A 14,894-nucleotide genomic window follows, 5' to 3' on the forward strand; every position below is an offset into this window, starting at 1 on the left:
GAGCCAATGGCCTCTTTCTATTAACTCCTTCCAATACTATTTTTATACACAGGAGCCAATTCAGGAAAAATAATGTTTGGAAAAATGGAAAGATCTGTTCTGTGCTTCGATAAGAAGGTTCAATACTCTGAAGAGAAGTCAATTCATTTTCCATTCATCTATAATTTCAATGCCATGCAATCTCAATTAAAATACCAAATAAAAATTTTAAGAGAATTGGAGAAGATGGGAGGGGAGTGTAAGACGTATGAAAAAAATTAGGAGGCTGGGCACAGTGACTCCACCTGTAATCCCAGCACTTTTGGAGGCTGAGGTGGGAGGATCTCTTGAGCCCAGGAGTTTGAGACCAGCTTGGGCAATGTAACGAGACCCTGACTCTACAAAAAATAAAAAATTAGCCTGGCATGGTGGTATGAGCCTGTAGTTCCAGCTACTTGGGAGGCTGTGGTGGGAGGATAGCTTGAGCCCAGGAGGTCGAGGCTTCAGTGAGCTGAGATTGTACCACTAACTCCAGCCTGGGTGACAGAGTGAGACTCTGTCTCAAAAAAAGAAAAAGGAAAAAAATTAGGAAATCATAGAAAGAACATCAAAATATATTAGAAGGCTATGATAATTAACAGATTTGTTAATGAAGAGGAAATATACAAATATTAATGAACAAAATAGTGTGTTTAGAACAAGACTCACATACAGGAGACATACACATGTTAAAGGAGGCATTTTGAATTTGTGGGGAAAACTTAATGATTCAGTATAGGGTTTGGAGCACTTTGATAGCTAAGAGGTGGGGTAGGGGGCAGAGTGAAGGCTGTCTCTCTTTTACTCCTTCTAAAAATATTCCAGTGGATCAAAGATGTAGGAAACGATGGATCCATGTAGGCCTCAGCCTTCAAGTTTCTCCTCTGAGATTTCAGGGATTATCCTTTAAAGGAGTCAGGAAGAGGGTAGAGATCACAAAGATAATAAGCTCAGACAGTTTGTATGTTAAATAAACCTCAGGAGGTTTTAGTCTTAAGGTCCTTAATCTGACCTTCCAAACTGACTTTTCCAGAAACTTCCAAAAGCCTCTCTGGTGTCTCTTTCTTCCCCTCCTTTAATGTGGCCCTGGCTCACAAGTCACCCCTCTCTCTAAGAAGTCCCCTTCTCTGTTTTATTCTTCAGCTTTGCCCCAGGAGGACCTGGGGTGTAGCCCCATGTCCCCTCCCTCTGCCACTGGTGACTCATGGTCATTTCATTCCCCTCAGTCCTCAAATAGGGTGAACCCTACAGGCCCCAGAACTACCCCAGTCAACCTGTAGAGAAACTCCACAATGACCCTCACAGGAAATGAAATTGAAAGTCCCATTTCCAATGTCTTTGTACTGGGATGGAGGAGGAGGGATGGGTAAGGGGCTTCTTATCCTTGAGTCTGTTGGGGGCCCTGGAGTCTGAGCCAGCTTCTCTGTGTTGGAAACACCTGGACAGGGCTGGGCTCAGGTGGATTAGAGGGGGTGTGTATATCTGTGAGTAGTTTCTGGAATCCTTCTTTCCCCTGAATGAGTTATGTGCACTTATCTGTCCCACAAAGGATAAAGGGACACATGGGTTAGGGGAGGTTTTGGAGGCAGTTCCCCTCCCACCCCCCAGCCCACCAAATGCTTAGGTATAGACTAGTCACTAAGGTGGAAGGAATGTAGGAATCTCAGGCTCTCAGAGTCAGACCTCAGAAGGCTCCCAGGCAATGATCCTTGAGGTGCAGAAACCCCCTTCTCAGCCCTGCCCCACATCCTTCATGAGCATTCCTCAAACTCTGCCTGAATGTCTCCAGAGCCCGAGAACTCACCGCTTCTTTGGTGGCCCCTTCCAGCTGGGGACAGTTCTGAAATAAAGCTCTTCCTTCTCAGCACACCTGTCTCCTGTGACTGCTACCCACTTGTCCCCAGAGAAGAAAGAAGGCCCAGAGCCACCCTCTATCCCCCAGGTGGGGAAGGATTCTTTGAGCACAGCCTGCCTGGAACTAGAAATTCTGGTTCTAATCTTTGCCTCTCTTCATAAGAGCTGAGCTGTGACCAAGGGAACCCAGAGAATGGGCAAATACAAACCAAAACAGATTTGGGTTTCCACCGGCTGCAGTGGCTCACATCTATAATCCCAGCACTTTGGGAGGCCAAGGTGGGAGGATCACTTGAGCCCAGGAGTTTGAGACCAGCCTGGGAAACTGCAAGACCCGATCTCTACAAAACAAAACAAAAACCCAACAACAGGGGCGGGGCACGGTGGCTCACACCTGTAATCCCAGCACTTTGGGAGGCTGAGGCGTGTGGATCACAAGGTCAGGAGTTCAAGACCAGCCTGGCTAACACAGTGAAACCCCTCTCTACTGAAAATACAAAAAAAAAAAAAAAAAAAAATTAGCCGGGCGTGGTGGTGGGTGCCTGTAGTCCCAGCTACTCAGGAGGCTGAGGCAGGAGAATGGCATGAACCCGGGAGGCGGAGCTTGCAGTGAGCCGAGATCGCGCCACTGCACTCCAGCCTGGGCAACAGAGGGAGACTCTGTCTCAAAAAAAAAAAAAAAAAAAACACCTCCACGGCAAAGCCTCTTCCTGCTCCTTGGGCTCTGGGGTCTTAACCTTCAAGACTCTGAACATCAAGAAGTAACAGGGCTCATAGAATGCTGATCGGCTTCCCACCGGACCCAAAGGATCAGGCCCAGACCAGCTCTGACCCCAGCAGACAGGGTGTAATGGAAGGGATCATGGAGGCAGGCACCATATGCCAGGACTGATGGATCAGCAGACATTTTCCTGCCTGTCTGTCCACTCCAGGTATATTTTCACCCCCGTCCCTTGAGGCCCCTGTCCTATTCTACTCATTCACCCCCTCCCTCCTTCCTCTCACCACAAGCTCACCCAAGGCACATCTGCAAATGCTTCAATAACCTTCGATTTAACACCTAAAACGTCAGCTACCTAAGGGTAGAATTTTAATCCATTTTATTCACTATTGTATCCCAAGTGCCCAGAAGAATGCCTGGAAGAATAGTAGGTACTCATTAAATATTTAAATACTTAATGAATGAATACCTACTGCGCACTTTTACTTACTTTTCTCTAAATTAAATATTCACCAGGAAGGGCTGATGGCCCCCACTTTATTCACTGATTCAATGAACACTTACTGAGATTTTTCCCATGTGCCAGGCATGTGGTACATCATTATGGCTTAAGAAGTGCCCAGTGGCACCTCCAGAGAGGTAGGGTGACCTGCAAAGGTCACACAGCAGTCTGTAGCAAAGGAGGACTGGGCTCCAGGCTCCCTGGCCTCTGGAGCTCAGATCTCTTTCCATGACACCAGAGGCTTGTGATCGCAAGACAGGGCAGACTGGCAGCACACACACCCAGCTAGGCGCCAGGCTGCAGGGCACTGTGGGGCCCATGCTGAGGGACAGACGAGTGACTTGCAGCCAGCTGTCCCAAGTGCCTGGCCTGGCCTGGCCAGAGCCTGACGGCTTCCAGCTGTCACAGCTAGTGTGGGCTCCTCCCAGAAGAGGGCACCAGTGACTTGCATGGACTTGTGCCCTCCCTACCCAGGCCCACAGACTCCTGCACGCAAATCAACGAATGCCCCAATTATGGATCTAGGAAGGCAGAAGGCAAGTCATGTTCCAGGCTCTGTGCCAGGCCCTTTTAAATAGTTAATCTTCATTTGAATATTTAATATAATAATTTAATGTCATTACTACAACGTAAGTCAGATCATGTAATTCTTCTGCTCAAAGCCCTAAGATGACTTCTCATTTCACCAGGAACAAAAGCGCCATGGCCTGCAAAATTCTAGGCCATCTGGCTTCTGCTGCCTGTCTGACCCATTTCCTTCCACTCTCCCCTTGCTCCCTCCATCCTCTCTGGCCTTCGTCTTGGAGCCCACCAGGCATATTCCCACCTCTGCCAGAAGCAGCCCTCCCCAGACATTTGCATCATTTGCTTTCTTACTCAAGATTGGCTCAAATGTTCCCAGTGGGGCCAACTCCAGCCACACCCTATTTGAAAGTGCAATCTCCCACCACACTCACATTTGCCTTAAGCTTTGTCCACAGTGCTTACCTCCTTGTAACAATCTTTACAGGTTCTTTCTTTTCCTTCCTTCCTTCCTTCCTTCCTTCCTTCCTTCCTTCCTTCCTTCCTTCCTTCCTTCCTTTCTCTTTCTTATCTTTCTTTCTTATTGAGATGGAGTCTCACTCTGTTGCCCAGGTTGGAGTGCAGTGGTGCCATCTCGGCTCACTGCAACCTCTGCCACCCGGGTTCAAGCAATTCTCCTGCTTTAGCCTCCCAAGTAGCTGAGATTACAGGTGTGTGCCACCAGGCCTGGCTAATTTTTGTATTTTTAGTAGAGATGAGGTTTCACCATGTTGGCCAGGCTGGTCTTGAACTTCTGACCTCAGGTGATCCTCCTGCCTCAGCCTCCCAAAGTGCTGGGATTACAGGCGTGAGCCACCGTGCGCAGCCTATTTCTTTGTATTTGTTGTTCATCTCTCTTCTCAAGTAAAAGCAGCATGGGAGCAGAAATCTTTGTCTGTTCACTGCTATATCCCTAGTCCCTAGCACAGTGCCAGTACATAGTAGAAACTCAAAAATATTTGTGGATGAATAAATAAAAAAATTATGGATGAATAAATAATTAAAACCCTGAGTTGTGCTACCTCCATTCTATAGATGAGGAAACCGAGGCTTAGAGATGCTAGGTAACTTGCTTGAGATCGCATCGTTCATTTATTCAACCAACTTACTAACCAGCCAACATTTACAGTCTACCCACTGCATTCCACACACATTTAGAGGCACAGTGTTGGGTGGCTTTGGGTTATTTGTTTTTCGAAATACTCTCTATTCCTTTTTTCTTGATGTACCATCTGTTTGCAATGACTTCCCCCATATTGTCACCTTCTAGAATTCAATTTACACTTTAGAATTCGATTCATCATCAGTGGTTGCCAGAGGTTGGTGGAGGGGGTCTATGGTAGAGTCTATGACTCCGAAGGGGGTACATGAGCTAGTATTTGGGGTGATGGAATTGTTTGCTCTGTATGGTCCTGGAGTGGCAGATACATGATTCTATGCATTTGTCAAAACCCAGAGAACTGCACCTCATAAAAAAATAAACTTTAGGCCAGGCACGGTGGCTCACACCTGTAATCCCAGTGCTTTAGGAGGCTGAGGCAGGCAGATCACCTGAGGTCGGGAGTTCGAGACCAGCCCGACCAAAATGGAGAAACCCCGTCTCTACTAAAAATACAAAATTAGCTGGGTGTGGTGGTGCATGCCTGTAATCCCAGCTACTCGGGAGGCTGAGGCAGGAGAATTGCTCGAACCCGGGAGGAGGAGGTTGTGGTGAGCCGAGATCACACCATTGCACTCCGGCCTGGGCAACAAGAGTGAAACTCCGTCTCAAAAAAAAAAAAAACTTTAATGTATGCAAACTGTAAAAAAAATTATTCCTCAAGGTTCTTAACCTCTATGGATGTAATTCAGTGTTTAAATGGTTCCTCCTATACCTTTTACACACTGTCTCTCGCGCTCTCTCTCTTTCTCTTTGACTTCAGTATCCCAGAATGAGGATGGGGAAGAGGAGGCAAGGGTAAGAGTAACATTCTCTGCCTCTGAATACTCATGGCTCCTCTCAGCCCTTCCTGGGTTTCATCCCTCAGGGCTCAAGGTCAGGCCTGGGTCTCCTACTTGGACTTCTTAAAAAATTTTTTACTTTATGATAACTGTAGATTCACAGGCAATTATAAGAAATAATGCAGAGAGATCCTGAATTACCTTCACTTGGTTTCCTCCTAGGGTAACATCTTGTATGACTATAGTACAGCATCACAACCAGGAAAGGGGCATTGGTATAATCCACCTACCTTCTGCAAGTTTTACCAGTGTTACATGTACTGTTAGTGTTGCGTACAAGTGCAAATGCACATTTAGTTCTATGCAACTTTATCACTTGTGTAGATCCACATAACCACCACCATTACCACTGTCAAGATACAGAACTGTTCTGTTTTTGTTTTGTTTTGTTTTTTGAGACAGAGTCTCACTCTGTTGCCCAGGCTGCAGTGCAGTGGTGCCATCTAGGCTCACTGCAACCTCCACCTCCCAGGTTCAAGCGATTCTCCTGCCTCAGCCTCCTGAGTAGCTGGGACTACAGGCATGAGCCACTACACCTGGCTAATTTTTTGTATTTTTAGTAGAGACAGGTTTCACCATGTTGGCCAGGCTGGTGTTGAATTCCTGAGTTCAAGTGATCCACCCACCTCGGCCTCCCAAAGTGCTGGAATTACAGGTGTTAGCCACCGCGCCCAGCCAAGATACAGAACTGTTCTATCACAAAGGTCTCATCTGGACTCTTGATGTTTCTCAACGTGCAACACTTAGGCACATCAGAATCAGTTGAGTCATTTGTTAAATGTGCAGATTCCTCCCAGCTCAGCTGCTGAACCAGTGTGGGGCAAGGAGGCTGGGAATCTGGCCTTTACTTGAACTGGCCGTCATTTCTATCCATCCTCCACTTTGTGGCCGCCAAGAGGATCCTCCTAAGACACAGCTCCCACCGTGTTTTTTCTGCCGCTTAAAGCTGTGTAGTGGCGCCCCCTGCTTTCAGGGTAGAGAAACCAAAGCCTTAGCAAACAAAGCCTTCTCCAGGCCCCACCTCCCTTCTTCCACTCACCCCACCCACTACGCTTCAATCCCTCCAAACCTCTCTAATTCCCAGGACGCCTTTGTTTTCATCAGGCTCATTTTGTTCATGCCGTTCCCTCTGCCTGGAATGTCCTGCCCACTCTTTTCTGCCTATTGCAACCCTATTCCACCACCCATTCTTACAGATGAGGACTTGGAGGTTGAGAGAGGTTTGGTGTCACCCAGCAAGTAAGGGCAGGGCGCAGTGGAGGCCCCAATCCACCTGACTCCCAGGCTCCTGGTCTTACTGTTCGCCAGCTGTAATGGAGGCGCTGGGGGAGGCCATGGTCCCTCTTCGGAGCTGTCTGCTCACCTCCACTTGGGCCTGCCTCCCCATCCACCTCTCAGGCATCTCACCAGGACCGTTCCTCTTCTTCCCCTCCCAGCGAAGCCGGGCAGGGATGAGGGGTCTGAGATGAGGGAGGAAGGGAAATGGGATTGAGCCCAGGGGTAACCTGACTCCCTGCAGTGGGTCGTGTGGGGGCCAGGCACACTACGGAGGGGAAAGCCTGGAACAAATACCGAGGGACTCCCTTAAGCCGGGCCGGCGATGGGGGCTCCTGGAGGGAGAGAAGGAGCCAAGTGGAGTCAAGTCCCTCCCCTGCTGCCCCCTCCCTCCACGGCTCCCTCGCAACCCGAGCCGGGGGGCCTAAAAATAGCCCCCAGGCGCAATCGCCGGCCGCCCCGGTGACCTTCTGGGTAGCACAGGCCGAAGGCGGGCGGGCAGCAGGAAGGCAGGCCGCCGGCCCCCCAGACTTGTCTCCTAGGGCACCGTCCCGCGGGTGCCCCCGTGGCCGCCCAGTTCCGGCGTCCCCCCAGCCCAGCTCTCAGTGGCCATGCAGAAAGCCCGGGGCACGCGAGGCGAGGATGCGGGCACGAGGGCACCCCCCAGCCCCGGAGTGCCCCCGAAAAGGGCCAAGGTGGGGGCCGGCGGCGGGGCTCCTGTGGCCGTGGCCGGGGCGCCAGTCTTCCTGCGGCCCCTGAAGAACGCGGCGGTGTGCGCGGGCAGCGACGTGCGGCTGCGGGTGGTGGTGAGCGGGACGCCCCAGCCCAGCCTCCGCTGGTTCCGGGATGGGCAGCTCCTGCCCGCGCCGGCCCCCGAGCCCAGCTGCCTGTGGCTGCGGCGCTGCGGGGCGCAGGACGCCGGCGTGTACAGCTGCATGGCCCAGAACGAGCGGGGCCGGGCCTCCTGCGAGGCGGTGCTCACAGTGCTGGAGGTCGGAGGTAAAGGGCAGGTGGGGGCCGCGCCCGGCAGGGGCGGGGTGCTCAGAGGTAGAAAAGGGCTGCCCAGGCCACGCGGGTAAGGTACTGGATACTGGTTCCGCCGCCTTCTTCCCAGGTGCCCTGGCTTCTCGGCTGCCCGGCCCCAGAAGTGAGACGAAGAGCCAAGTGCAGGGAATGGGGTGTCAAGGTAGAGAGGCTCCCCACAGGAAGGTCAGAGGTCAAGGGGCAGCAAGCGGTTGATAAGCCAAGCCTGAGACCCACTCCCACCTCTCAGGGAATTCTGGGGTGGAAGTTCTTCTCCTCCTGTGGAGAAAAGCCTCCTGGGGGAAAGGGTGTCCTTCAGTTCCATGATTTAAACTTGAGATTGACACTCCGATCAGCTCCTTAACAGGGGAGTCCATGTCCGAAGGAGGGGGCCAGCTCCTCTGGTCCAGGCTGCACTGTTGAAGGGATGGCTCAGAGCTCCCTGCAGGCCATTGCCGTGGCAGGGTTGATGTGGTCAGCTCTAGGTGGGGTGTGGAAGAGGCCTATGGTTGGCCACGTGTGAACAGGGTCCAGGGTAGGAGGAGGTGGAGCCCGAGCCAGGGCCCCATGGGCATGAATGGAGGTGAGTGCTTGAGAATCCACATGCAGGTGTGTGCCTGCATGGGTGCTGTGGAGGGCCCTGGATTCTGTGTGGTGGTGCAAACAGGTGAGGTATGGGCACGTGGAGCTGGAATGGGAAGCTCCTGGACCATGTCTACCTGAGCTTCCAGAGTGGATGTTTCCAGAGCATGGAAGGGGGATGCTATGGACCAGTGCTTGTCCCCCGCCCATAGATTTCCAGGTGCAGTGTGAAGAAAAGGCTGAGGGTCTGAGGCAGAAGGGGAGGGCAAGAGGCTGGGCCCAGTGCTCATGGTCCAGCTGGGGCTACCATGGAGGCCAGGCCAGGGCCGTTAGCCTTGGATCCATTTGGGGGCTTCCTTTTTGATTTCCTCAGTCCTTGAGTAAGCCAAGTGGTACTTCTCTAGCCAAAGGCAGAGCCTTGGGCAGGCTGCGCCTTGAGAAACAGAATTCTGAGGAAGTAGGCTACAGCTGGGAGAGATGGCAAGGAGCTGGGGGTTCACTCCCTTGGACGTTTCTAAGAGGGACATGTCACTCCCCTGGGTGCTGCTGTGTAGGGGTAAATCCTTGGAGGCTGGGGAGGAGGCACAGGGAGGAAAGCCCTCAGCAGCAGGTGGGCAAGAAGTCTCTAGGACACAGCCAAGTCAGGAGAGGGAGCCGGGCTGGCCTCCCTCCATCGGCATCTCCTCCCCCCAGCCCTGCTCTGCCCACCTTCCTGGAGTCTCTGTGGCCAGGCCTGGGCCAGAGAGGGCCAAGGCTGGCGTCTCCTGGTTGGCCTAGCACCTGGACAAGTACAGGCCTCCCGAGCCTGGGATCAGGGGATGGGGTGCATTCTAGCAGACTTCGGAGCTGGGGAAGGTGTGGACTCCTTGGGGATCTCAGCTCTGGTCCCCCCAGGGGCAAAGAGGGCTGAAAATAGAACATAGATCAAAGGGTAAGATAGATGAGTTGATGAGAATATGACTGGGGGAGAGATTAGGGAAGGGAACGAAAGAGCTGACAAGGAGAGTAACAGTCATAATATAAGTTAAGGTTGGAAAGGACCACAGAGAACTGCAGCTCCAAACACATCCTTTCACAGGCAAGGACACTGTGGGCCAAAGATCAGGGAGCTCTGCCTAAGACGTACTAGTCTAGTTAGAGACATAGCTAGTTATGGCCATCCCAGAACTAAGAACCCAGTCCTCCTGGTTTTGGTTCTGGGGGCCTTGTACTCCTCAAGAAGTTCTGGAGAGAGAGGAAAGAGCGAGAGAGGGAGGGAGAGTACTGGGAAAGTAGCTGTCACATGATTGGCCCAGGCCTGGCATTTCTCAAGATGGATGTCTCCTGGCCTGCCTTGGTCCCTCAAAGTGGTAAGTGGTGATGAGGTGTGAGAGCCCCCAGCAGGGCTGTTTGCTCAGCCTCTCTGCAGTCTTGGTGGTGTGGTCAGCAGCGCTGAGCCTGGCTGGGCGTACCTAGACAGAGGCCAGGCTGACAGTGTGCAGGCTGGGCTGCTCTGGTGGAACAGCAGGCTTGAGAGGCTTGGGGTAAGAAAAGGGCCCTGGGTGTTGTGGGGCTGGATCAGGGGCCCTTTGACATTCATATGAGAATAGGAAGAGGACTGGGCTGCAGCAAATAACCTTTGAGAACATGTCCTGATTGTGTAGATAGAAGGTGGCAGAACAGGTGGAGGCCTCAGTCTGTCCCACTGCAAAGAACCATGTGTGTAACTATTACACCTATCCCACATGCTTTGGAGGAGGGAGGGGCTTTGCTTTGGTGATGCTGGGGGACTGACTGGGTGAATCTGGCTTCCTATCCCTTCTGTTGCCCACCCCCACCAGCCCCTGCCCAGTGATAGCTCCTGCTCCAGGGCAGCCGGGCAAGCAGCTCGGCATTGCTCAGACTTACTCATGGAAAACTTTCTTGGTTGGAAACAACAGCAGGAGGACTTCAGGGTACTCGAGGAAGCCAAGCAAGGACCTGGCTGCAGACGGAAGGACATGCTTTCCTGGCTGGGATTGCTGGCTCAATAAGACAAAGTGATGCTAGGTTCCTGGCACTCCTGAAGCCGGATATGTTAGCTCAAGGATGGAAGGATTTGGGCATGGCTCTGGAAAGTTGGGGTCATGAGAAGGCAAGTGGGCTACAGCCTGGAAAATTTGGAGGATGGGAAACTGGGGGTGGTGGTGCTGAGATTTGGGGGATGTAGAAATGAGGGAAGAATCGGAAACAAAGGAGGTGAAGATAGCAGAAATGCAGGATACTTGTAGAATCCTTAACATGCGTAAGTACCCTGTCTCATTTAATTATTTAATCTTCCAAACCCTAGGTTACTGTTATGACCATTATTCATATAGAAAAACTGGGGTTCAAAGAGGAAATTTACCTAAGTTCCCATGGCTAGTGAGGTGCCAGAGCCAGGTCTGAAAGCCAGGTATCTGAGTCTGGGTCCATACTGCTTGTCCACAGAAAGAGAAGTGTGGGAAGACTGTCAAGGATTTGTCATCGTCACCATCTTTCTCCGTCAATATCTCCAAATCCATCTCTGGCCTAGTCTCCAAGATAGGCAGGCATTCTTCTTTTTCAAAATATCAGGCTCCCACTTGCACAGGCTGAGGAGCCACATGCAAATCCAGAGACCACAGCAAGTGCTACCCTCAAAGCTGTGGGTGTGCGTGTGTGGCTGAAGAGCAGACCTGCACTAAAGGGCAGAGGGGAAGCAGGAGAAGGCACAGCCGAGAGAAGAGGTGAGCTGATGATGCTCACATGGTGTGTTAGTTGGAGCTTCATAGCTAGGGTCTGGAAGATTCTGGTGTTAATCAGAAGGGCCAAAGATCAAAACATGGTAATGAACCATCCTGGGGACTCAAAGGCTTGGAGAGGAGAGCTTAGAGATAGGGAGAGAGGGCCAACTTAGGCAAGGAAAGGGTAGAGGAATGTACCAGAACCTGTGTTGAGGAATATTCTGCAGTTATTCTTTTTCACCTGGAATTTAGAATGTCTGGCTAGAGAAGCCAGGTGGAAAGTAGTATGGAGCTGGGAATGGGTATGGGGAGTGTCAACATGCATGCATGCCAAGTGCTGACCAGTGAGCGGAGGAGAGGCCAGAGTGGGAGCAGAGAGGAGCTCTGGGACCCTCTCCAGGGGAATCCTGAGTGGAATGAGAGATGGTCACTTTTCTGGCTAAAGACCTCTGGGGACAGAATATGGGTTAGGACAGAGAAGGGGGAAGGCTGGATGAGTGGAAGCCGTTGCAGGAAGATTTACTGTCCCCGTTCCCATCACTGCTTACCCTCTCCACCTGCAGCTCTGCCACCCCCTCCCATATTTATTGAGTGCCTACTATGTGCTTTTGATACACGAGTCAGGGGGTTGAGGGAGACCAAAATTTATGTCCTCCAGGGGATAACTTTCTAGTGAGGGGAGACAGACAATACACAATAAACATAGTAAATAGGTAAATTACACAGTATGTCAGAAATACAGAGCAGGGTCGTAAATGAGAGAAGGGAGAAACTGAACTGAGGCAGGAAAGAGGAGACAAAAGGGAGGTGGGGTGGGAGCTTGTGGCATAGGATGGAGATTTGGATTTTCTCTGGTTGGAGGGAAATGCTGGCAGTGCAGAAATTGGAAGTCTGGGTTTGGGGGAGTGGCAGGGAGACACAGCTGCCCAGCTATGGGAGAAAAATGGGGCAATCTGGGGCCAGCTGGGGAGGCCCACCCAGAGAGCATGTTCCAGGCCAGCCCTTCAGGAGTGAGCAGTGCCGACCCAGAGCAGGAACACAGAATCCTGCCGGCCCCTCCTGGGCCCAGCTGTCCCGTCACTCACGCCCGCTGCCCATTGGTTATTTTTGCTACGGAATGTGCCAGCCCCTTGGATTCTCCTGGGGAACAGGGGCTCAAGTTACCCCCTCTCATCACTCAGCTCCCCATCTGTGAGTGGGTGTGTTTAGGGGTGTACATGGAAAGTGCCCATGGGTGTCCAGGGTCCTCTGGCTGGAACGAGTGTGGACACACATATGTGCCCTCTCAGCACACGTCCCTGTGCATGTGTCTGTACTTGTAATTTGCTTTGATGCTCTAGGAAACAAGAACACCTGTATGCACCCAGAATGTACAAGACATGACCTAAACTTTAGAATAAAAGAGCAGCCAGGTGCGGTGGCTCATGCCTATCATCCCAGCATTTTGGAATGCCGAGGCAGGAGAATAGCTTGAGCCCAGGAGTTCGAGACCAGCTTGTGTAAGATAATAAGACTTCATCTCTACTTAATATTTTTTTAAAAATTAGCTGGGCATGATGGCATGCACCTGTAGTCTCAGGTACAAGGGGGGCTGAGGTGGGGGGAATCTCTTGAGCCCAGGTGGTCAAGGTTGCAGTGAGCCATGATGGCACCGCTGCACTCTAGCCTGGACAACAGAGTGAGACCTAGTCTCTAAAACAATAAAGAAATCTAAAATAAGATAAAGGGGCCACAGACTCAAATAACTGCAGGGGTCAAGTAGAAACTGAAAATGAGGGAGGTGCGCTGAGCTCAGGCATGATTGCTCCAGCCCAAACATTGTGCAGGCTGAACAAAACTCATCAGTCTGTCCCTGTATTTATTTTATTTTATTTATTTATTTATTTATTTATTTATTTATTTATTTATTTAAAGCAGAGTCTTGCTCTGTCACCCAGGTTGGAGTACAGTGGTGCGATCTCTGCTCACTACAACCTCGCCTCCTGGGCATAAGTGATTCTCATGCATCTGCCTAGGTTGGAATTCTGGCTCCCTCAATTTATTGGCCATGTGACCTTGGGCAAGTAACCTCTCTGTGTCTCAGTCTTCCTCTTGTCGTGAGGATTAAATGAGCTCATTCACATAGAGTGCTTAGCACAATGCCTGGTACATACCAAACACGCAATAACTGTTAATAGTTACTTAGTAGTCACAGCTCAGAAATCAGGATTGGCACTACCTGTGCTCACTGGGATGATAATTCCCATCTCCAGGACACATGGAGTCCTAGAACCTGTATGGCTTTGACTAAGTGATAGGACTTCTCTGAGACTCAGTCACTTGTCAGTTAAATGGGTATAGGATTATTCATAAGGGTTTCCAGCTCATGGGGTTATTGTAAATGAGGTAACATTTGTAAAGTGCCTGGCACTTAGTAACTGCTAAACAAACATAGCTATAATGGTCATGGGGAGGATAGAATTTTGTGTATGCAAAGTGTGCATAGTGCTGAATAGGGCAGGGATCGGGTGGAACACACAAAATATTTGGTGAGTGTGCTTCCCTGTGATTGAGAACACTGGCCAACTTTGTGAATAATGGGGGTACCTCTGTGCACCTTTGCTTGTGTGTGTGAATGTACGGGGGTAGGGGGCCGCGCATGGGACAATCGCGAGGTAAGGCAAGATAAAGCCCTCTCTGGCTTTCTTGAGAAGCCTTAGGGTTTTCACAGTCTGAGTCCATGTTAACACGCAGTCCACACCCGCCAGGACCCTTGCCCTGCGTTTGACCTAGGCGCCCCCACCCGGCGCTGTGCCCTTCGGCGAGTTCGGTTCTGCCTGGCACAGTGTGTGTGCGCGCATGTTTGTGGAATGAGCAAGTCGAGATGCTGCTGACCTTCCAGAGAGGCCCCGCGGGAGGAGGTGAGGGTGGGAGGAGGCTGCGCTGGGCTGCCAGAAAGTGGCCTGAGCTAGAGGCCATTGCACCCCTTTCTGTGCCTCAGTTTCCTCATGTGCCTAGGGCTCCGGAGGCAGATGCAGGGTGGGGGTCCGTGGCTCTCGGCGTTAGGAGGTGACCGGTGGTCGTGTAGGGAGGCAGGTGAGGGCCTCCCCGGGGGAAGTAGGGGGACAGGACAAGGAAGGGGCCCCAGGTGGGGTGCAGGCTGGCGAGGGAGGGGCGGACTCCAGCGCCGCCGCCGCCGCTGCTGCCGCCGCCGTCGCCGCCTTACCCCCACCCGGCTCCCGAGGCCCCAGGCTCCTTCCGCCACCCGCGCCGGCTCCCGCCCGCTCCCCAGCTCGCCCCCGGCCCCGCCTCCGACTCCGCCCCGCCCCCGCCCGTCCCCTCCTCGCCCGGCCGCCGGCCCGGCCCCCTCCCCCGCCATGAAGAAGCTGTGGGTGAAGAAGCGTTTCCAGGTGAGGGCTCCGGGGGCGGGCGGCGCCGGGAGGGGGCAGGGAGGCCTGGGCGCCCCGGAGGGAGGGCGGGTCACCGCAGCTGGGCCCGGTGGAGGGGGCGCTGGATCGGCGCCTGCCCCACCCGAGCCCCGCCGAGGGCGGCGGGCCGGGCGCGATCTAGGGGCGCCCGGGTCTGTGTCCTGAGCGCGCAGGCCCCTCCCCGCGCTGAAGGGCAGATCCCCCGCTCCCCGATCGCCCGCAATCCC

The 14,894-nt window shown here is 52.4% G+C and overlaps 1 protein-coding gene across 37 annotated transcripts in view, besides 1 other annotated feature; it reads left to right on the plus strand.

Annotated features, from left to right (window-relative positions):
• Positions 1,716–4,805: an enhancer, noted in NCBI's record as "VISTA enhancer hs2169". NCBI's record gives its function as "enhancer in: heart[3/8]" and the evidence as "EXISTENCE:transgenic organism evidence [ECO:0001131][PMID:17130149]".
• The window catches only part of SPEG (striated muscle enriched protein kinase), a 58,787-nt gene continuing 51,301 nt past the window's right edge, over positions 7,409–14,894 (plus strand). For 22 of the 37 annotated variants that reach the window (XM_005246239.3, XM_047442898.1, XM_005246237.3 and 19 more), the window contains exon 1: positions 14,609–14,649. Coding sequence is in view for 28 of the 37 variants with exons in the window: in XM_005246237.3 (XP_005246294.1) it covers positions 14,617–14,649 (33 nt within the window). In the remaining 9 variants the exon portion in view is untranslated. Of the gene's footprint in view, positions 7,932–14,608; positions 14,650–14,894 lie in introns of those variants that run through there. The other 15 variants (XM_047442891.1, XM_011510479.3, XM_047442893.1 and 12 more) reach the window with 1 other exon arrangement.

The sequence above is a fragment of the Homo sapiens genome, chromosome 2 (genome assembly GCF_000001405.40).
Source record: "Homo sapiens chromosome 2, GRCh38.p14 Primary Assembly".
In the NCBI taxonomy this organism is placed as follows: Eukaryota; Metazoa; Chordata; class Mammalia; order Primates; family Hominidae; genus Homo; species Homo sapiens.